The sequence below is a fragment of the Homo sapiens genome, chromosome 10 (assembly GCF_000001405.40).
Source record: "Homo sapiens chromosome 10, GRCh38.p14 Primary Assembly".
Classification (NCBI taxonomy): domain Eukaryota; kingdom Metazoa; phylum Chordata; class Mammalia; order Primates; family Hominidae; genus Homo; species Homo sapiens.
Genome location: NC_000010.11, coordinates 22,928,958 through 22,953,191, shown reverse-complemented (window position 1 = coordinate 22,953,191; position 24,234 = coordinate 22,928,958). Strand labels below are relative to the sequence as shown.

The 24,234-nt window shown below is 37.2% G+C and overlaps 1 protein-coding gene across 10 annotated transcripts in view; it reads right to left on the bottom strand.

Moving 5' to 3' along the window:
* Positions 1-24,234, bottom strand: part of ARMC3 (armadillo repeat containing 3) — a 110,471-nt gene that overhangs the window by 85,332 nt on the left and 905 nt on the right. For 8 of the 10 annotated variants that reach the window (NM_173081.5, NM_001282745.2, XM_005252380.4 and 5 more), the window contains exons 2-3: positions 21,148-21,196; positions 6,931-7,048 (exon numbers count right to left, since the gene is read on the bottom strand). In NM_173081.5, coding sequence (NP_775104.2) covers positions 6,931-7,048; positions 21,148-21,195 — 166 coding nt within the window. In that variant the 5' untranslated portion in view covers position 21,196. The remainder of the gene's footprint in view (positions 1-6,930; positions 7,049-21,147; positions 21,197-24,234) is intronic. The other 2 variants (XM_005252381.3, NM_001282747.2) reach the window with 1 other exon arrangement.

The following is a 24,234-nucleotide window of genomic DNA, read 5'->3' as shown; positions in this document are numbered from 1 at the left end:
AGCCCCTTTCGTCTTCAAAGCCAGAAATCACGCCCTTCTGACCTCTGTGTCCACCATCATGTCTTCTCCAATTCTGACTCTCTTGCCTTCTTTTTTCACCAATAAGGGCCTTTGTGATTGTGTTGGCCCAACCTAGATAATCCAAGGTAATCTCCTCATCTCAAAGTCAGTTGGTTAGCAACCTTAATTCTATCAGCATTCTTATTTATCCCTTGTCATGTAACATACTATTTTCATAGCTTCCAGGGATTCTGATGTAGATATTTTGGGGTTATTTTTCTACCTACCCCACACGGTAAAATACCTTGATTAATTTGCAGTTATTAAATCAACCTTGCAATCTGGGAATAAGTCATTTAGTCATGATGTGTTTGCTTTTTTTATACATTGTTGAATTTAATTTGCTAACTTTTGTTTAGAATTTTTACATCTATGTTAATAAGGCATACTGACTTGCAGATTTCTTTCTTTCTTGCCTTTTGCTGTTTGGGCCTTTATACAGTAGTGGTGGCTTCACAGAATGAATAGGGAAGTATGCCATCCTTTTCAATTTTCTGAAAGTATTTGTGTGTAATTGGTATTATTTCTTCCTTAAAGGTTTGGTAGAATTCACCAGTAAAACCATCTGGACCTGGAGTTTTGTTTGTGAGAAAGTTTTTAACTACAAATTTCAGTTTTTGTAATATAGAGCTATTCAAGCTGTCTTTTTTTAGTGAGCTTGGAAATTTATGTCTTGAAATAAAATTGTCCACTTAATCTAAGTTGTAGAATTTATTGGTATTAATTTATTCATAATATTCCTCTTATCCTGTTAATATCTGTAGGATCTCTAGTGATGTCCCTTCTCCCACTCCTGATATGGATAATTTGTCTTCTCTCTTATTTTGTCTATCAATCCATCTCGAGGTTTATCATTTTTATTGATCTCAAAAAGCAGCTTTTCATTTTTATGGCTCATCAATTTTTTTGTTTTCTATTTCATTGATTTATACTGAGATATCTATTATATCCTTATTATTACTAACTTTTGGTTTAATTTGTTTTTTGTTTGTTTTTTGTTTTTGTTTTGAGATGGAGTCTCACTCTGTCGCCAGGCTGGAGTGCAGTGGCATGATCTCAGTTCACTGCAACCTCCACCTCCCTGGTTCAAGAGATTCCCCTGCCTCAGCTTCCCAAGCAGCTGGGACTACAGACGCATGCCACCACACCTAATTTTCTGTATTTTGGTAGAGACAGGGTTTCACCATGTTGGCTAGTATGGTCTCAGTCTCCTGACCTCATGATCTGCCCACCTCAGCCTCTCAAAGTTCCGAGATTACAGGTGTGAGCCACTGTGCCCAGCCTTGTTCTTCTTTTTCTAGTTTCTTAAGATAGAAGCTGAGATTACTGGTTTGAGACTTTCCTTGTTTTCCAGTATAGGCATTTAGTGCAATAAACTTCTCTCTAAATACTTTGAGTGGCACTTTTGCTGTGTTTTAATTTTCAATTCTGATTTTTGTTTTGATTTCTTCTTTGATTCATGAGTCATTTAAAAGTATGTTATTTATTTTCTAACTACTTAACAATTACCCAGAGTTTTCTGCGTTATTGATTTCTAATTTAATTCCATGGTGGTATGAAAATACATTTTGTGTTATTGGAATCACTTAAAATTTATTGAGGCTTATTTTATGGCCTAGAATATGATCTATTTGGATAAATGTTCTGTATCCACTTGAAAAAAAAATGTATACTCTACTGCTCTTAAAGTGTTCTATAAATATTAATTAGGTTAAATTCATTGATATTGTCAAATCCTTTATATCCTTTTATATTTTCTGTCACTTGTTCTTTTATTTATTGAGAGGAGTATTTAAATCTCCAGCTTTAATTGTGGATATCTATTTCTCCTTGCATTATTAGCTTCGTGTATTTTGAAGATCTCATATTTGGTACATAACTGTTTAAGATTTTTCGGCCAGGCGCACTGGCTCATGCCTGTAATCCCAGCACTTTGGGAGGCCGAGACAGGTGGATCACGAGGTCAGGAGATTGAGACCATCCTGGCTAACACAGTGAAACCCTGTCTCTACTAAAAATACAAACAATTAGCTGGGTGTAGTGGCGGGCGCCTGTAGTCCCAGCTACTTGGGAGGCTGAGGCAGGAGAATGGCGTGAAGCCGGGAGGCGGAGCTTGCAGTGAGCCGAGATTGCGCCACTGCACTCCAGCCTGGGTGACAGAGCAAGACTCTGTCTCAAAAAAAAAAAAAAAAAGATTTTTCACAGTCTTTTGATTAACTGATCCCTTTATCATTATAAAATGACCTTCTTTATCTCTGGTACTACTCTTTTCTCTGTTTACTTTTATAATATTAATATTTCTGTTACTAATGCTTGGGCTTTCTTTTGATTCATGCTAGCATGACATATCTGTTGTCATCCTTTTGCGTTATTTTTGTCTTTCTATTCTAAATGCACTTCTTGAAGGTGGCATGTGGTTTACTCTTGCTTTTTATCCAATATACCAATTTCTCCCTGATAATCAAGGTATTTAGGACATTTATATTTAATTTGATTTTTGATATGGTTAGATTTAAATCCACCATCTCGTTTTTTACATGCCCCATTATTCCATGTTTTCTTTTTTCTTCATATTCAGCCTTCTTTTCTATGTATTCTGTGAATATTACTGATTCCATTTTATTTCTTTCATTGGCTTATTTAATATTATCCTTTATTTTGTTATTTTAGTGGTTGCATTAGGGTTGCAGTATACATCTTTAACTTAACACAGTCTACTTTGAAGTGGTATTATGCCACTTCACATATGAGATCCTAACAATAGTATACTTCCATTTTTTCCCTTTCTATGTTGGGGCTGTTGTTGCCATATATTTTATTTATACATATGTTTCAAGTTGCACAATATATGATTATTTTTGTTTAATAAATTTGCTTTTGAAGTGATTCAAATAACAAAACATATATGTTGCCATTTCTAGCACTCTGTATTCTTTTTTGTAGATCCATGTTTCCATCTAGTGTTAGTTTCCTTCTGCCTAAAAGGCCTCTTTTTATTATAAGTAATAGTGTAGATCTGCTGGAAATAAATTATTTTAGCTTTTTATATTTGGAAAAAAAACATTATTTCACCTACGTTTTTGAAAGACCTTTTTTCTGGATATGTAATTCTGTGTTGAAAGTTTTTATTTTTCTTTTATTCTTTTAAGATTGTTGCTCTACAGACTTCTCACTTGCATAACTTCTGATGATAAATCATCCTTATTTATAATTTGTTATTATCTACTGTCATCCTTATCTTTATTTGAATGTAACATGTTTTTACTGATTCTGGCTTCTTTTAAGATTTTCTCTTTATCACTGATTTTAAGCAATTTGATTATAATGTACTATGGCATGGTTTATTTCATATTCTTTGCACTTGGGTTTTGACAAACTTTTTTGGATCCATGGACTTAGAGTTTTCATCAGATTTAGGGAAAGTTTGGCCATTATTTCTTCAAACGCTTTTTCTGTCCCTGTCTCCCTTTTTCAGAGACTCCAATTACACATATATTGGACACTTGAATTTTTCTCATACCTCATTGAATCTCTGTTCATCTTTTTAAAATCTCTTTTCACTGTCCTTCATTTTGGACAGGTTGTGTTACTATGTATTTAAGTTCATTAATCTTTTCTTCTGCAATGTCCAAACTGCATTAATCAAAGCCTATGTGTTTTTCATTTCAGACATTGAAGTTTTCATCTCTAGAAGTTGTATTTGGATCTGTCTTATAGCTTCCATGTTTTCACTTTCTAAACATATAGAATACAGTTGTAATTAATCTTTTAATGTCTTTTCCTGCTAATTCTAACATCTAGGTCAATTTGATTTACTCATTGATATATATCTTATTATGCGTTTTTTCTGCTTTTTTTCATGCCTGGTAATTTTTTTATTGGATGCAAGATATTGTGAATTTTACCTTCTTGGGCAATGGATATTTCTGTATTCTTAAGATTTTTTTCAGGGACAAATTAAGTTACTTGGAAACAACTTGATCCTTTCAAGTCTTGCTTTTAATATTTACTAGGTGGTACTAGAACAGTGCACAATCTAGGACTAATTATTTCTCATACTGAGGCAAGACTCCTCTGTGTATTCTACACAATGCTCCATGAATTCTGAAGTTTCTGCCTGGCTGATGGAAACAGGCATTACTCCTAGCCGTATGTGAGCACCAGGCACTGTTACCCCAATCCTTTGGGTGCCTCTTGTTCCAACTATTACCCTCACATGTACATGCTGTTCACTACTCTTCTAAATACAAGAATGAGACCCTTTACAGAGCTCCTGAGTTCTCCTTCTGTGAAACTCATTCCTCTCCTTTGCTCTGTCCTGAAAACTCTGAATACCTTTATTTCTCTGGACTTTCAGGTTTGTCTTCTTAACTCAGAGAATCCACCAGGTTACCTTTTCCAGTGCTATGGCCAAAAAGCTCTCTAAAGTCAAAAATCTGAGGCAATCATAGGGTTTACTTCCCTTGTTTCCCGTCTCTCAGTGGTCACTGCCCTTTATTGTCTGATGTTGATGGTCTTGTCAACTGTTATTTCATATATCTCGTTTATTTTCTTCATTGTTTCCACCAATAGAGTAAGTCTACTCTACTTTCACATATTGGGTCTGTTTCATTCATTGTTACAGGCAGTAGAGTGGTCCGTCATGGCCAGAAACCAAAGTCCTATCATTTTTTTTTTAATTTTAGAAAATACTACTAGTATAAAACATCAGACTTAAAATTATTTCTGTATTGATTTCATATGAAATACATGCCTATTTCTTCATGTCATGCAAAAAGAGATAACACATAATTAGATACACGTGACAGCCAGATGATGTATAATGACTCCGTAAGACTGAATGGGATTCATGCTGCCATAGATGCACAATCCAATATCTCCCTGAAATTTGACCCAGGATTCTACACCATCCACTCAAAAAGATATAGTAACTTCCAGAAACACTCTGGTTTACATCTGGATTCCCAATGATGACCTGAGTGACAAAGCAAGGTGAGTATTATACCCTTTGCTAATTGAATGATTTGTTGTTCTCTCATTCAGTTTCCAACACAATATGTCAAGTATCATTTATTTAAAACAAAATTGTCCCTATCTTAGTTTGAAATGGTTTATTAAAAAAAACCAGTTTAGTTACACTAAACTCTCAATTAAATTAATATTCTCAATTAAAATGTCATGCAACATAATAAAAGTCTAATCATTTGTAATAATATGAAGACTAAAATATAGGCATCTTGTATGTTTTTAAATCCTCTATGAATAAACCTTTCAGTAGAACCTGATGTGTAATATTTATAATTTTTAAATGTTTTATGTTTTACAACAATGTTAGTTTTACAGAAAAGTTACAAAGACAGTACAAAGACTTTGCACATACCTCAGACCCAGTTTCCCCTATTATTAACATTTGATATTAGTATGGTACATTTTTTACAGTTAATGAACTAATATGAAGACACTGTTATTAACAAAAGTACTTAGTTATTCGGATTTCCTTAGTTTTAACCTAATATCTTCTTTCTGTCCCAGGATCCTATGTCATTACTCATTATGCCTCCATTATGTGAATTTCTCAAACTTGCTTGTTGTAGATAGCCATGACAGTTTTGAGGAGCATTGGCTAGGTATTTTGTACCTGAACCGGGATTTGTCTGATTTTAAAAATCATTATTAAACTGGGGTTATAGATTTTTAAGAAAAATAACACAGAAATAAAGTGTCATTTTCATCACATCATATCAAGAGCACCTAATATTGATAGGACTTATCACAGTTGGTGGTTTGTTTTCTGTTTTTTTTTTTTGGTTGGTTGGTTTGTTTTTTGAGACAGGGTCTCTCTCTGCTGCCCAGGCTGGAGTGCAGTGGCACAGTCTCAGCTCACTGCAACCTCTGCCTCCCAGGGTCAAGCAGTCCTCCCACCTCAGCCTCCCAAATAGCTGGGACTACAGACATGTGCCATCATACCTGGCTAATGTTTCTATTTTTTGTAGGGGTGGGGTTTTGCCATGTTGCCAAGGCTGGTCTTGAACTCCTGGGCTCAAGTGATCCTCCCACCTCAGCCTCCCGAGTAGCTGGGACTAAAAGCATGCACCACTACACATGGCTAGTTTTTGTATATATATATTTTTATATATAGAGATGGGGCTTTGCCACATTGCCAAGGCTGGTCTCAAACTCCTGGGCTCAAGTGATCCACCCACCTTGGCCTCCCGAAGTGCTGAGATTACAGGCATTAGCCACCATGCCCAGATGTGTGGTGTTGATTTTGATCACCTAGCTGCGGTAGTGTTTGTCAGGTTTATCCATTGTAAGCTTATTTTCCCCATTTCTACATTGTACTCTTTGGAAATAAGTCACTCTGTACCTCTCCCACTCAAAGAGTCGGAAGTTACATTTCACCTCCTTGAAGTCAAGAGTGTCTACATAAACTATTAGGAATTCTTCTGCATAGGAGATTTGTCTCTTCTCTTCCATTTATTCACCCATTTTATTTATATCAGTATGGACTCATGGATACTTATTTTCCACTTGGATGATAAGCCAATACTGCTTTACTTTGTTGTTCTAATTGTTCCAGCCTTGACTATTGGGAGTTCTTTTAGCTTCTGTGACATTTACAATTTCTAAAACTACAATGAAACTTTCAGAATGACTGTTCTACCCAGTGACTAAATTACTCCTTAAGATTAAGCTAGGAACTCAGGAAGAGAGATTGCTCTTAGGTAATGCATTAAATAATATCCTGGTTGTCTGAAATAATTCATCCGACAGCAAGTAAGTTAAAGACTAGGAAGAAAAGTGCCCAAGAGGTAGTAAATATTTTAAGAAATTAATGAAACAGAAAGATAAACTGAAAAAAATCCAAACCTTTTAAAGCAAATTTATAAATGGCTTCACATGCTTTAGCCAAAATTTCCTCTTCTGGAGAATTAAGCATTAACACCACAGTTGCTGCTTTTTTGCTTTCAATCATTAATGGGTCAAACTGAAAGGCAGAAAGAAAACTATCAGTTTCACATATGAGCTTTAAAAATCACATTAAAAATGAATGGGTCTTAAAACTTAAAGAAAATGTAATCTTGCAAAAAGGATGTGGTCACTGCCCAATAAGTGCACTGCAAAGTTTTTCATTAAAAATACATCAACCGCTAGAGAAACAATTGTCAGCATTGGAATGCCTGGGGTATGGTGGGAAGAGCCAAATGTTTTGGAATCTGACAGGTCTAGTTTCTCAATTTAGCCATGTGGAATCAAATGAATTATGCTACTAGAATGTCAATTTCTTTTTCTGTTTGATGAGGATAATAGTACCTATCTCAAAGGTACTATCTCAAAGAAACAAGGAAAGGAGTAGAGGTCATGTATGTAAAGCACTTAGCACGTCATCTGGCACATGACAGATGTTTATCAAATGATATAAATGCTTACTCAATATACACAATCCTTGAATACCTGTATATATTTTATTCCATGACCATCTCAATAATCAATACTTGCTTTCCAACCACTAGACTCTAGAAAAGCAGGAAGTACATATGTAAAACAATAAAAAAAGCAGTAGAAAAGAGCATATAACAAAATGTAAAATTGAATAAAACCTGGAACAGGGGAAATGATAATATAGTCTAAAGAAAAGTATAGGACTCTAAGAAGACCTGTTTCCTGAGAATTCATGTGTTATTGAAATGCATAATTGAAACGAACTATTGTTCATAGCACATAGAGGCTTTCTGTGGTCAAGGAGAAAACAAATTATTACACTATTTTTCTTCCATTTCCAGAGACTAATGAAGGATGGAGTTCTGCTTGGGATAAAGGAAAAAAACTGTATTTCAAAGCTTTAGCTGGTTCTTTGTGTTGGCATTCCTATATAGACATCTTACTATGTCATGGAATATTTTTAAGATTGTTTCATTTTAGGTAGAGAATGGAGAAATATATTACTCTGATTACTCCAAGGAAACATGATTGTGTGAGTTTGGAAGAGTAAAGAAGAAAGAAGATAGCAAGAAACAATGACCTGAAAGGACACAGCCAGGATAAAATTTCCCTTTTGGAGGAGAAATGGCTGCTGAATTTTAGAACGGCATTGTCTAGCACCCAAAGTAAAGCTGCTGTTTTTCTATGGCTCCCACTATACTAGAAGCTATAAAAGTTACAAAAGTCTTGTTTGTTCTTAAAGCTCGTAGACCCTTTTAGAGAAGACAAATCTTCAGTAAAAAATCAGTTGTGTACAACAGGTTGGTGGCACTTGTGATTCTAGACATGATCCAATGAGAAAAGGTGGCCTCTAGCTGAGCAAAGAGGAATGGCTGGGATGCTGGCTGCAACACTAATCATGAGAGCAGAAGGCCCTGGAAATCCACAGAAATCTTAAGGGAGGACTTCTGAATGTAGTTAGGGTTTGGGGCTTGAGAACCATCCTCTTTAGGTATTAAAGGGTAGCCCCAGAATGCCCGAGGACCTCACATCACCCAAGTGACACATGTGGCTCACTGACCATGGTTTTTTTTAATCTGAAAAGTTAGGAAGCTGGAGTATGATCTCTTCCAGATATAAAATTCTAGGATTTTATGAAGTGCAAAACATATGGCAGAAACAATAAATACTATGATGAGAGTGGGGAAATTAATTTGAAACTGGGGTAAATAGAGAAAGCTCCATGGATGTGGTAGAACTTCAGATATGATTTGAAGAACAGATAAAATGGGATGGATGGCAATGAGAAGGGAGGATATGCAAATGGGGAAAATAACACAAGATGGTTTAAAATGGGAGTATTTGTTTATGGTGGATAAAATATTAGCTTGACCAAATAGAAAATATACAACAGGAAGCAGAAATAATATTGAATAATAAGAAGAAAGACCTCAGCAAATGACCTATACCTTTCCTTCTCCTGACTGCTTATTGAAGATAATCAACAAAGGTCCAAGGGAAAAGGATTGTGACTCTGGAATTTTATGTCTGGCTAGGTTGTCATTCAGATGTTCAGGCGTTCACAAACTCAAAAAGTATATCAACCATACACTCTTAAACAAATTGCTCAGGCAAAACCTCCAGCCACAACTTGGGAGGACCAAAATATAAAAACAACTGTGGTGGATCAAAAAATACAGTAAAATGTATTTTGCTGTTTAGCTTACTAAATGCTGCAGATGATGTGAATCATAATACAATTTTTTTTTTTTTTTTGAGATGGAGTCTCACTCTGTCGCCCAGGCTGGAGTGCAATGGCGCGATCTTGGCTCACTGCAACCTCCACCTCCTGGGTTCAAGCTATTCTCTCTGCCTCAGCCTCCTGAGTAGCTGGGATTACAGGTGCCCACCACCATGCCTGGCTAATTTTTGTATTTTTAGTAGAGATGGGGTTTTGCCATTTTGTCCAGGCTGGTCTTCAACTCCTGACCTCAGGGAATCCACCTGCCTCAGCCTCCCAAAGTGCTGGGATTACAGGCATGAGCCAACTCACCTGGCCAATGCAATTCTTAAGAAAGGATTCCTGAAGTGATGATGATTTATAAGGGAAAAAAAACTAATAATGGCTTGGAATTAAAACAGATTTTTTTTTTCAACAAAACAGGTAAAGAAAATTTTTGGTTTTAAAAAAAGAGGAATGTTGCCCAGCTATTATTTATTTTTACATATTAATGTAAATTAATAGAAAAAAATGCAGGTTAAAATGTGTATTTAATAGATACGCTACCAATAAGTAACCAAAGTTCCACACTGCCAGAAAGAAGGGAAAACAAAGGAAAATTGCTCAACTCAGAAAAGGGACAGAAAATACAAAAGAAATTACAAGATGAAAACATAGCAAAGAAAAACCACAACTTCAAATAAAATGATAGGAATAAAATCAAATAAGTCAATGATCAAAATAAACATCACTAGGGTAAATAAATCCAACTAAGGCTGTTAGATTGGATTAAAAAGCAAAATTGACTCTGTTTGTGTTATTAGGTATTTCTTCCACTTGATCTTCCAGAATATTAATTCAGAGCTCTCCAACTAAGGTATAGAACATTTCTAGTATCTTTGAAGGTTTCCTCACACTCCTTTCCTAAGCCACCCTGCCCCCATGAGAGATAACCATTATTCTGACTTTTAAAATAATCACTTAATTTTCCATTTTTGAACTTCATATAAGGAATCATACAACATTCACTCTTTCATATTTGGTTTCTTTAGCTCAGTGCAATACCTGTTGCAGTTCTTTCACATTTTTGCTTATATAGCTAAGTCATATTTCTTATGGCTATATAATGTATTCCAGTATATAAATATACCAGTTTGGGTTCTTTTCTTTCCAGTTTAAGGAAATCATAGGTCACAATGAATATTCTTTTACATGTCTTTTTGTGGATACATACATTTCTCTTGGGTATTTATCTAGGAATGGCATTGATGAGTCATGGGGTAGACATATATTTCCCTTTTGTAGGTACTGTCGAACAGTTTTCCAAAGTGGTTTTTATCAATTTACATTCCCACCAGTTATGAATGAGAGTTCCACTTGCTCTACATCCTCACCAACACTTGGTATTATCAGTCTTTTTAATTTGCCTTTCCAAAGCTCTTCAATCATAGTTTTAAATCCATCTGCTTTTCATAGTTATTGTAGCTGGAGAAATGCCTGCTGCTGCCTGCTACCACTATATCCTAGGCAGAAGAGAAGTGTTCTCATTACTTTTGAAAGTTCTCTCCTGTCTCTTTTACTAATTCTGACTCAGTAGCATCCATCTATCATTCAGCTTTGTCTTCTGCTATTATGCTTGAGAATACATTAATTTTTCTCTATCTGCCCATAGATGGGTTTCCTGCCGCACCCACAGTGTTCAGGCTCTGAGGGGTTCTTGGTAGCCAACCAGCAAGTGGTGAAAGATACAACTTGACTTTTTCAACTACTCCCACTACAGAGATTCTTCAATTGCATTTGGATCCCCAGTCCATTTACTCCCTCTGTTTTCTCTCCCTTTATCAGCTTTCTCCCTTATTCCCCTCTTAAGTTGCTTAGATTGCATGTTCTATTATCTGAATAACACTTCTGCTAAAGCATAAACCTCCTTGTCTCTCTGTCTTTTCATCAGATGAATCTTCTCAAACCCAAACCACAAGTGAACACTAGTATTTTCTTCTTTGCATTTATACCCAAGTGTCCAACCATTCTCAAAGAATGTTAAACTAGAAGAAAATTAGTATCATTATAAATTCATGACCAGCAATTGAGAGGGCCTCACTGCAAACCAGGTTTCTACATTTCTTTTGTAAACTTGATTTTTCCTTCTCAAAAGAACAAAATTATTTCAAACATTTCTACTATCCTTGAACATTTAACACTCTTACTTCCCCCTTTCTTTCCTCCTCACCCAGCAAAATTTTCAGAAAAAATAAAGTTACCAGATGGAAACTCCATCAACTTCCAACTTGCAGATTCAAATCTACCTATATCTGCACATGTTCTATTACATCAGAGAAAATATCCAAGGCCAATCCCTAATAGGTGCTTTGGCTTTTTAACTCATTCACCTTCATTAATTCATTTATTTAATAAACATTTATTGAATCCCTATTAAGTGCCAGACGCTAAGAATAGCACATTAGATAACTCAATCTCCTATTCTCACAGAATGGACACATTCTCATCTTACTTTATATTATTAATAATCTCTTCTGTCTCATGAGTAGTCAACTCCTCCCTGTCAACTAAATTCTTCCTTTACTTCTTTTGAATCCAGCTTACAGAGGGCCAATTTAGATGTAATACAATGCAGTAATTTTCAGTGTAAGTTTGATGAGTTTTGAGGAATGTATACATCTGTATAGAATTTTAAGAAACATACACATCTGTATAACCAACCATTCCAAGCAATATGTGAAAGTTTCCATGCCCCACAACATTCTCTCCTGCCTCATTGCAGTTGATTCCCCTCCTATGACTGGTCCCAGACAACCACTGATCTCCTTTCTTCCACTGCAGATCAGTTTCGCCTGTCCTATAATTTAGTAGTAATGAAATTACTACATAGGGACCCTTTGTGTACGCTTCTTTCATGTGGCAGAATATTTTTGAGATCCATGTTTCATGGATCTCATTTGTTTTTACCTTTCTTTTTACTGCTGAGTAGTATCCCATTGTATATCACGATTTGTTTATCCATTCAACTGTTGATAGACCTCTGGGTTGTTTCAAGTTGGAACCATTATGTATGAAAGTTGCCATGCACATTTTATACAAGTCTTGTTATGGACAAATGTTTTCATTTCTCTTGAGCAAATGCCCAGAAGTAAAATTTCTGGCTTGTCTGGCAAGTGCATGTTTAACTTTATAAGAAAATATAATTTTGGGTCACTGTAGCTCATGCCTGTAATCCCAGCACTTTGGGAGGCTGAGGCAGGAGAATCACTTGAGGCCGAGAATTCAAGACCAGCCTGGGCAACATAGTGAGACCCTGTCTCTACAAAAAGTGAAAAAATTAGCCAGGTGTGGTGGCATGCACCTGTAGTCCTAGCTACTTGGGAGGCTGAGGTGGGAGGATCGCTTGACCAGGGAGTTCAAGGCTGCAGTGAGCTACAGTCATACCACTGCATTCCAGCCTGGGCAAAAGAGTGAGACCCTGTCTCAAAAAAAGAAAAAAATACAATTTATTTTTCCAAAGTAGTTCTACCATTGGCATTCCTGCCAGCAATGTATCTGTATCCAACATAGTACTTTTATCTCTTCAGTTATTTAGGTCTTAGTTAATTTGTCTCAGAAATGTTTTATAGTTTTCAGCATATAGGTATTGATTTTATTTTGTTAAACTAGTGTCTAAGTATTTCATTGTTTCTTATGCTATCGCATAGCCTTTTTTGCCATCATGTATCTTAAACTTGTGTTATTAGGTGCATAACACTTAGGACCATTAAAAAATAAACCTTTGTATCATAAAATGTCCATCTTTTTCTCAGGCAATATTCTTTGTCCTGCAATTGTAATGTATTTCATTTGGTATTAACATAGGTGCTGCAGATTTCTTATGATTAGTGTTTGCATGGTATATATCTTTTTTCATGTTTTTACTTTTATGTGTACCTTTATATGTAAAGGAGGATTCTTATAGACAGGTGAGAGTTGAGTCTTGCTTTTTTACTCAGTTGGACAATCACTTTTTGTTGGAATATTAGGTTATTTATATCCAATGTGGTTGTTGATATGGTTGGGTCTTAATTGATCATCTTGCTATTTGTTTTCACTTTGTCACATTTGCTCCCTGTTCCTTTTATTCTGCCTTTTTTCAGTTGATTGGGTTTTTTTAGTATCCCATTTTACCTCCTCTATTAGCTTATTAACTGATTTTCTCCTGGTTATAGGTCACATTTTCCTTTTTTGCACACCTAACAATTTTGTATTGGATACTGGGCATTGTGAAAATTATGTAGCTGAGCATCTAGATTCTTTTGGGGGCTGGGGGAGGAGAAGTGTTCCTTAAAGGATATTGAATTTTGTTCTGGCAGGCAGTTATCTTACTTATGGATCAGGTTAATCTATTTAAAGCCCGTTTTTAAGCTTTATTAGGTAGGGCAGGACTAGAGAAACCTTTTCTATAGGGCTGGATAGTTTAGCCACACGACTATTAACGCATGACTTTTCTGGGGACTCTTATTAATGCCCCAGGTATTCAATAAGACCCTCCATGCCTTCCAAGCAAATTACAATGCTTCCCAGACCGGTGTGAGCTCTAGAGAGGGTTTGACTTAACGGCACCCTGAGAGTTGTTCATGCATGTCCTTTGCCAGGTGGAGTTCCACCCCATACAGATTAGACTTCAGAGAATCCAGAGGACCATTAACTGGATTTCTGGAGCTATTGCTGTATGTTGGTCTCTTCTTTTTGGTACTCTACCCTGCAAACTGCAGCCACCTAATCCTCCTTGAACTCTGATTTCTTGAAGCTCTTTTATTTTAAAATAAAAACCAACTGTCCTTAGATAGTAATCATCCTCTGTACACATTACCCTTCCTTGTCTTTCACAATCAAAAACCTTACAAATACTTACTTTTCTTACTCTAGCTCCTTGCTGCACATATCCAATCTTACTTTCACCCTCAGTGACTTACCAAAATAGTTCTCACTAAAGCCACCATCTGGGAGCACCATGTCACATGTCACCCAGGACTTCTTGAGAGTTTTATTTCATTTCTAAAGAAAATAATACAATAATACTTGAAACTATAGAGAGTTATGGTGTATTTAATTGTCAGGCCTCCATCTCTCTGGATACACTTTTTATTGTTTTTATTCATGGTGGTTTGGGGGTTGAAATTCCTTGGGCGACTAGGCTTGCTTGCTTGCTTTTCTTTCTCTTCTTCCACAGCTGTTATTTTTCTGAATTTAACACACTGCATTATGTCTTTGATTTACATGTCTATTTCAGTATGTTGTACTTCCATTCACTCCATTGCTCAGGCTTGATCTCTCAACTTGTCCCCTTCTCACACTCCACGTCCTACCCATCAGCACATCCTGCCAGCTCGACCTTCAGAGCTCATCCTCACTCTGGCCACATCTCATCTTCTTCACGGTGACTTCCTGGGTCCAAGCTGCCATTGTATCTTAACTGCACTACTGTGACAACCTCCAAGCTGGTCTTCCAATTTTCATGTTTCTCCCACATTGTAGCTAGAACGATCTTATTTTTTATTTTAAATATAAATCAGATGTCACTACTACTCTCTTTGTCACCTTCCAACGAATTCTCCTTTTTGCACCTTAGGGAAAAATCCAACTTGCTTAACATAACCTAACGTCCTACGTGGTCACCACCATCTCTCCATCTTTGTGACCCCATCCTACACCTCGCTCACTAATCTCCTGTCACACCAACCTTCCTGGCATTCCTCAAACACACTGCATGAGGCTTTAGTTACTGTGGTCTGGCTGGGGTCCCCTCCCAGATATTTGCACAGATTACCCCCTCATTTCATTTAAGTGTGTTTTGGTTGAGATCCCACAAGAAGGCCTGCCCAAGATTCTATTTAAAGAGGCCCCATCACACTCCTTACCATATCATACTTTATTTTTCTTCATTGATCGTATCACTACCTGAATTATATTATTATTAATTGACTGTTTCTCCCACTATAATATAAGCTGCCTTGGGGCCTGAACTTTCCTTTCTCCCCATCTTTATGCCCAGGATGTGGAGGAATGCTTGCATATGGTAGGCACTCTATATTTGTCCAGCAAATAAATACATTTCTTTAGGCAAAGGACCATGCTGTTTCTCTGTCTCCATCACCTATGAACAATACTGGGGTGATGGTAGTACTTGGAAAATGTCTGTAAAGGAATGTATTAAAGTGCCCCTGGAAACTTTTTCTATGCTTGTGGCCTTAAAGTGCCTTAACTGTGTACTGTTTGCTGATGTCAGGAGAGAGGGCTCTAAATCTGAGGTCCATGGAGCTATCAGTAGGCTTTGAAGGTACATTCTCTATGTGAAATCATATGCAAAATACTTGGAGTACATTTCAGAAGGAGGAGTTTCCACAGATCCCAACCTACCTTCATAAGGTTCCTTGATTGCCCCGCAAACTCCTAAGAACCACAGCCTTAGATCATCTTCACCACTTAGGGCACTTCCCCTCATGTCCCAGCTGGCCATCTTCTCCACCAACCCACATCTAAAACAGATTTCCCTTCCCTCTTGGAACTTTCACCCCAGAGACCTCACATGTTTCTATATTTTTAAAGCTGATTATATAAGTGTGTGAATAAGGATACTATGGTTAAGGATGGGTATGTCATGATCACCACAGAAGAACAAGTCTCAGAGGAGTAGGTAGAGTATACGAAAATACATTTAAACATAAGCTTTAGTAAATATCATTTAATAGTCATGTGGTTATTTAAGTGTGAATCTATAATAATTAAAATTAATTTTAAAGACCAGGTGCAGTGAGTCATGCTTGTAATCACAGCACTTTGGGAGGCCGAGGGGGGAAGATCTCTTGAGCCCAGGAGTTCGAGACCAGCCTGGGCAACATAGTGTGACCCTGTCTCCACAAAACATACAAAAATTAGCCGGGTATGGCGGTGTATGCCTTTAGTCCCGGCTACTCAAGAGGCTGAGTAGGGAGGATCAGTTGAGCTGGGAGGTGGAGGCTGCAGTGAGCCATGATTGTGCCACTGCACTCCAGCCTGGGAGACAGAGCAAGACCCTATCTCAAAAAAGAAAAAAAGATAATATGGGGTATGAGAAGCTTAAAGGGAAGCTTGAGACTGTAAGAGTTGCAATCCAATAGGCTGACAAAGGAGAAATACAAATGTTTGGCAGAGAATAGAGAAACTTGGCATGACATTTGTTTCTCCTACAGAGCCTGCACCATTATAGTAATTTTTTTATTAAAAAGGGCACTGAGAATAAATGATAGCTATAACAGAGTGCCACATGACTAAATAAATAATACTGTGCTGTCATTACATATCCCATCTGCTTTCCCATGAGAAAGTCAGTCACCAACAAGCTCATTGAGAAATTATAATTTCATGCTCTGTGCAAAATAAATGATAAAATTATTTACAAAAAGAATGAAAGAAAATGGAAGCATTTTGGCTAAGTTTTGAATTTTAAGCCCAGTCAATTAGAGTGGCCATAGGCTTCTAGAGATATTTTTATGTCTCTGTTAAGGAATAATACTGTCTAGAATAGCGTTTTCCAACAGAACTTCAGCAATGAAAACGTTCTGATTTTGTGCTATCCAATATGGTAGTCACAGGCCACAAGCAGTTCTTTAGCACTTGAAATGTAACTGATGGGACTGAGAATCTGAATTTTTAACTTCTTTTTTAAAAAATAGCGACAAAGTCTTGCTATTTTTCCCAGGCTGGTCTTGAACTCCTGGCTTCAAGCGATCCTCCCGCCTCAGCCTCCCAAACTGCTGGGATTACAGATGTGACCCACTGCCCCTGGCCTTTAAAACTAATAATTTTAATCGTTATAAATTCAAATTTTAATAACCACATGTGCCTAGTGGCTGGAGTATTAGCACAGGTCTAAAAAAAATACAAAATTATGAAGATGACCTCAGTGAAAATAAATCATCACAGTTGAGTGATTTTTATGGTGCCGATAAGTACAAATAAAAAGCTTTCACAATTTCTATTTCAATATGTTTACTACATCAGTGGTCCCAGATCATGAGGTGCTAATTGTGTAGGAAAAGACAGAGATAGATAAACAGGAGGAGGTAGACAGCATTCATCTAATAGGAACTTTCAATAGAGAATATCTAGACATCCGGAAAAATTTGCTAAAATGTCTAAAGATTAAAATGAAAGTAGCTAAAATACCTTTTAGTTTACTTTATAACCTGATCAAAGTAGCAAACTTTTGGAGTAAGGTGAGCAAGCTGAAAATTATCCATATTGTTTTATATATGTATATTGTTTATGAATTTATATTTTTTATTAATTCATAGTGTTTAGCTGTCAGGAGGGAGAAAGATGGGAAAAGAAGTCCTTATAACTTCTTTACATAGCAAAATAAATGATAAAACAAAATTATTTACAAAAAGAATGAAAGTAAATGGAGGCATTTTGGCTAAGCTTTGAATTCTAAGCCCAGTCAATTCGAGTGGCCATAGGCTTCTAGAATATTTTTATGTCTCTGTTAAGGAATAATACTGTCTAGAATAGTGTTGTCCAATAGATCTTCAATGATAAAAATGTTCTGATTCTGTGCTGTCCAATAGGGCAAGCACAGGCCATTTATTTATTTATTTTTTAAAGTCCATAGTAGTGTTGTCAGTCTATGACAAAGAATGAAAGGTTGAGTTCTGAGATTGATGAAGGAGGTCCAGGAAAACTCAGGAGACCTCACCCTCTTCCCAGGAATTAGATTTGGTTGTGCAGCTGAGGGGGCATGTTGCACTACTTTCCATTGCTCTGATTCTATACTCACCCTGCTTAGCTTCCTGTGTGCATTTAACTAAGGAAAGAAAGTCCTGACTCATTAACATAAATGTTCAGTTAACTTGATACTTAATCATTACGATTCCAGGGCCAGGTCATAGTCTCTTGGGAATTTAGAGCTTGTGGCTTTATCCACTGAAGCTCAATCACCTCTGAAATATTAAAAGACTACAATTTCCATGCTTGCAAACTCAAAGATCTGACCGTAAATCATGATGGCCACACACCAGGCCTCAGGGGACTTCAGTGGCCAGCTGGTCGTCCATGCCTCATCCCTGACTTCCCTGTCTCCTTTGACAGTTCATACAAACTTACTCAGTTCTGTAGAATGATGAACAGCACCCTCAACTATATCATTAATAATAATAACATCTACCAAGCTCTTACCTAATGCCAGGCACTGTTCTAAGCATTTTACATTGATCTAACCTTCCTTCACTGATGTGAGTGGGTATTCCTATGAATTAAGCAGTATCACATCCTCACTGTGGTGCACAGAGGTTAGAAAGTTCACCCAAGTTCATAGATGGGCATAAGTGGATAATGGAGTAAGGACCCAAACTCAGGCAAGATAGCCCCAGAACCGGTACTCTTAGACACTGAATATCTCGCCTTATACTAAATCATGCCTAGTAGAGTCATTTCTATTAGGAATTCTTTTATGCAATATTCCACAGTAAATTTTCCTTTTGTTAAAGCACCACAAACAACCTTTTGGCCAGATATGGAAATGATTTGGAAAGGAAGAATATAGTTGTATTGGTAGATCAAGCCGTGTCTTTTCCATATGTAGGCATCTTCTTAGCTAGTGTCTCTTTTATGAGAAGGAAATGTAATCAGTACTATATCTGCATATATTAATGTTATGACAAATGAGAATATTCAGAAAAGCAAAGGGAGCTTTTTGTTCTAATCCTAATACCAACACTTTTCTTACTGTCTTTATTACTCATTTTAAACTATAGAGGAAAGCCTGATAAAAATTAAGGTCTTTGGAAACAATATTTCTAGGAAACATATAAGAAGCAAATTACTATTGGCTGACAGAGAAAAGTTTATTTTCTTAAGTAGTTATATTTCTCTTTAAATGTGGTTTTCATTTACAATGTGTACAACAAACCTTTATTGACTTTAGAGGTATATTCTGGAACAAGTTCCAGGTTAAGATACTGTAAATTGTGGCATACTGCTTTGAAGTATGAAAACAAATACTGTAGAAAAGGGCTTAGATATTATTTTAATACCACTCTGTCAGTTTTTGTTTGTTTGTTGGTTGGTTGGTTTGTTTTTTGAGATGCAGTCTCGCTCTGTTGCCTAGACTGAAGTGCAGTGGTGGGATCTCAGCTCACTGCAAACTCCGCCTCCCAGGTTCACACCATTCTCCTACTTCAGCCTCCCGAGTAGCTGGGACTACCAGCGCCTGCCACCACCCCCGGCTAATTTTTTGTATTTTTAGTAGAGACGGGGTTTCACCATGTTAGCCAGGATGGTCTCAATCTCCTGACCTCGTGATCCGCCCGCCTCAGCCTCCCAACACTCTGTCAGTTTTATAGTCAGAGTAGAAGTCCCCTGGGAAAGGCAGGGAAAAGTAAGGACCATTGGTCAATGTTACACCCGCCATTGGCTACCTCCAAGGCTGTTGGGAGCTGAGGAAGCAGGAGTTCTATTTTGTTAATGCTAGGACTGTGTTTCTCAAGTTCTCCATTGTGTCCCCAAGGATTGGAGTCCAGAGGACAATATCAGCAAGACATTATGAAGTTATAGAAAGTGTATTAGCCATATACATCTATTGTTTATTAGCCCCGTAATTCTAATTTTTATTAGAATATGTTTTTGCTAATCAGATGCCATTAATGCTATTTGGTAGCAAAAAGGGGAGTGATACAAACCTTGGATGCAATGAAAAAAAAAATAAGAGAATCTGCAACATTTTAGGAATATGTCCTAAGAGAAGCAGCCAGAATGATGAAACATCATGAGATCACAATGTCTACCCCTGCAAAGCCTTCCTGGACCCGGGAAGACAGGCACTTCTGTAGATTTTGTTCCCAACTGTATTGAAGTATCATACCCAGTGGATTGCACAGGGGTGCAAGTGTGTGTTTGTGTGTCTCAGAAGCAGAGTCCAGAGGATTCTCATGATAATAGATCTTATTTTCCAAGTGCTACGTGCCAAGCACTAAGACCTTTATGTAACTTATTTTGTTTTAATTCATACAACAACGGGAACGAGTTTGATATTATGATTCCCATTTAGGAGCTAAAGAAAAACCGAAATAACTTGGCCAAATTTGGCAAATTGGCCACAATGACACAGTTGGTAAGAGGCAGAGCTGGCTCAAGGCCCCCAGTGTCTTAACCACAAAGCTCCCAAGGGGGCAGATTTCTGCCATTAGCCCAGTTTCCTTCAAATTTGAAATTGCTGTGAGTCTGTGGACTCCACTTATTTCTTTTCTATTCCTGATTTATCTGAAGGAAATCACACCAAATGTCTGTTTCAAAATAAGTTTCTAAACTGCAAATTGTCCAAGGTCATTTTTCACTTTTAACACAACCTTTCAATAATTGATAAAGTTTAAAGAGAGAAGATAAAATCCTGTTTTTAAAGACAGAGAAGAGCTTTCAGTGGGGAATGAATTACTTAGCATTTGGAATAAAAATGATGATGCCAGACTAGTCTCTCGATAGAACTGGAAAGGATAGGGACTTCTCACGTGCAGTGGTCATCACCAGACAACCTTATATACATATCTAATAGCTATAGCAGAACTTCCAGTTATTTTTGAAAATTCACTTGATTAATTAACATAAATGAGAGGCTGGCAAATGTAAATGGTAAGTATTTAAAAGAACAACCCAAACTATTTATTCATTAACTATGCTATAAACATGCCATCTACATACTGGAAAAGCTAATAATTACTCTCTAATTGTGCTAATTATATAATGACAATGTTGTAAATGTTTGTTTATGTAATGTTAGATTTCTCTGACTAATCTTATCATTAGTCAGACTTTGGACTTCTGCCACCGCGTATTCATGTATATACTGGTACATGCCAAACTGTGTGAACAATTTATTTTTATAACTGGTTGTTAAAGTGCTACTAGTATTCAAATCAGAAACTTACCACATCCTTAGGAGGAGGCTCTACTTCCTTCTTTATCTTTTTACCCATCCTGGAAAAAGATGCAATATATGGTTAAAGTGACATTTGCACATACATTTCTCAATTACCTGTGCCCTTGAGAGGAGGTTTATTTTCTCCTTTAAATTTTTACCTCCTAAAACACAATGCAATACATGTAAAAATTATCACATATGTACAAATATGTCACCTACATCCCAATTTCAAACTCTGCAATTTTAAGGAACTTATTGATAAGATCATTGAGTGTTAGTCCTGGCTTTCAGTTTAGAAAGGAGGTGAATATATTAGTGGCATAACTTAAATAACAAGAAATCATTTACCATTTTTATAGCTTGCTTATGATGGGCTTAAGAGACTAAGCCCACCAAGTTACTTTTGAGACCTGCAAGAATGTTTGTGCCACAAAGGCAGAGGTTTTTGTCTATTTTCTTGCACTGATCTATCCTAAATACCTACAACAGTGTCTGGTACATAATTGGCATTTGATATTTATAAACCTCATTAACTCCATTTTTCCTAGGAGTAATGATCTCATAAATGGTATACAAAATCTACCAGGTCTTGAATCAACATTTGTGTCCTTTGCCCGGATAACAAAAAGTTTTCTTTCATAATCCACAGCTTAGTAAAAAAGCAATTAAAAAATCTGAAGAGATATATTCTGGGGAAACTGAGGTTACTTCCTTTCCACTTGTCCTCATATGTCCATGTCTGTGTGGAAAAAGTGAAAGGAATGGAATTTATACATAGTTAACATACCACAGAGGAGTAACCAGCCTGGGTTCAAAGAACTTTTCAGGCCGGGCAGGTGGCTCACGCCTGTAATCCCAGCTCTTTGGGAGGCCGAGGTGGGCGAATCACGAGGTCAGGAGTTCAAGACCATCCTGGCCAACACAGTGAAATCCTGTCTCTACTAAAAATACAAAAATTAGCCGGGTGTGGTGGCACGTGCCTTGTAGTCCCAGCTACTCAGGAGGCTGAGGCACAAGAATCACTTGAACCCGGGAGGCGGAGGCTGCAGTGAGCCGAGATCGCACCACTGCATTCCAGCCTGGGCAACAGAGTGAGACTGTCTCAAAAAAAAAAAAGAAACTTTTCAAGATGTTAATGTCTATTAGAATAACCCAGGAAATCTATCTAGTTTTCTTCAGTGAGAGTTTGTGGAATTATGTTTGACATCAGGGCCATCTTAAACGGTATATCGTAGGAGCAATCTTAAACGGTATATCATAGCCTTAAGGAAATTACCATAGTCTCAGTAGAAATCCTAGGAAGTAGAAAATCCTTGGGGAGAATCTACAGTGTCAGGGTTAGCTCAAATTGCATGTCAAGGGTCAAAAGCAACTCCTAGCATTAGAGACACTGACCAGAATTTATCACATACATTAAAAAGCCACGTCTTCATAGAAACTCCTAGATACTTCTGAAAGGCATTTATTCTAGGTCTCTAACTTCAGACCACACTACTTTTAAGACTTTGGAGGGCCTGGGCAAGCTTATTCACACAATAGCCAATATATTAAAATGTTAAAATGTGCCTGCATCGCCCATTAAATGTCATTTGCATCATAAAAACTTTTGAAATTTGTATTTGAAATTACTCAGCAATCAGTACATACACCTGGAAATTCTTGTAAAATGAGAAAATTGTTTTCAAATGTAATAAAAATTTATATTAATAAAACATTTAATTAACACTAATTTTTCAGTTCTCTTTTCATATTTTAGAGCCAATATAAGCATTTTTTTCAAATCTCAAACATCTTCCTTAGGTGCTTGAAAAGTGAACAGGCCCTAGACCTTGTGCCTATAATATTTCAGGCAGAGAGGCAGAAACTATTCTGGGCAAATGAGAATCTATCCTACAATTAATCTCTAGGAAAAAAAAAAGAGAGAGTTTATAGCACTCTATAACCAATTCCAAGACAGAGCAGCCTTTGATTTATAAAATAATTGCTTATGAATAATATTCAGGAAGCAATTTAATTACACCTGCATAAAGTTGTTTTAAATCATCTGATTTTCACTTAGGAACTAATTTTTCCTACTTCAGGATAGTGTTTTTGAGCAATTGCATAGTGCAGAGGTTAGAAGAGCTTACACAGACAGTATTGCAATGATAGAGTGTCTCCTAAGCTAAAGAATGAAGTTAAAAGCCTATGTGTTTTATCATGGCCCGGCGTGGTGGCTCACTCCTGTAATCCCAGCACTTTGGGAGGCTGAGGCGGGTGGATCACCTGAGGTCAGGAGCTCAAGACCAGCCTGGACAACATGGCAAAACTCTGTCTCTACTAAAAATACAAAAATTAGCCTGGAGTGGCGGTGGCATGTGCCTGCATTCCCAGCTACTGGGGAGGCTGAGGCAGGAGAATTGCTTGAGGCCGGGAGGCGGAGGTTGCAATAAGCTGAGATCACCCCATTGCACTCCAGCCTGGGTGACAGAGCGAGACTCTGTCTCCTCCCCCAAAAAAAGCCTATGTGTTTTATCACCATATTGGGTATGATAGTTAATGGAGGAGAGACTGAACAGCTGACATAGGTCGGTGGCAATGAGCTATGGAGATGATCCTTACAAGGGTAATACATTTCACTGTGGAGAATTTGGAAAACAAGGGCACAACGAATAAAATAAAAATCACCCAAAGATAAGCTCAGAGAGATCAATACTATTTCTTTTCTTTTCCTTTCCTTTCCTTTCCTTTCCTTTCTTTTTCTTTTTCTTTCTCTTTCTCTCTCTCTTTCTCTCTCTCTCTCTCCCTCTCTCTCTCTCTTCTCTTTTTTTCTTTTTCTTTTTCTTTTTTGAGACAGAGTCTCACTCTGTTGCCCAGGCTGGAGAGTGGCCTGATCTTGGCTCATTGCAACCTCCACCTCCCAGGTTTAAGAGATTCTCCTGCCTCAGCCTCCTGAGTAGCTGGGATTACAGGTACCCGCCACCACGCTCGGCTAATTTTTGTATTTTCAGTAGAGACAGGTTTCCCCACATTGACCAGGTTGGTCTCGAACTCCTGACTTCAGGCGATCCACCCGCCTCAGCCTCCCAAAGTGCTGGGGTTGTAGGCGTGAGCC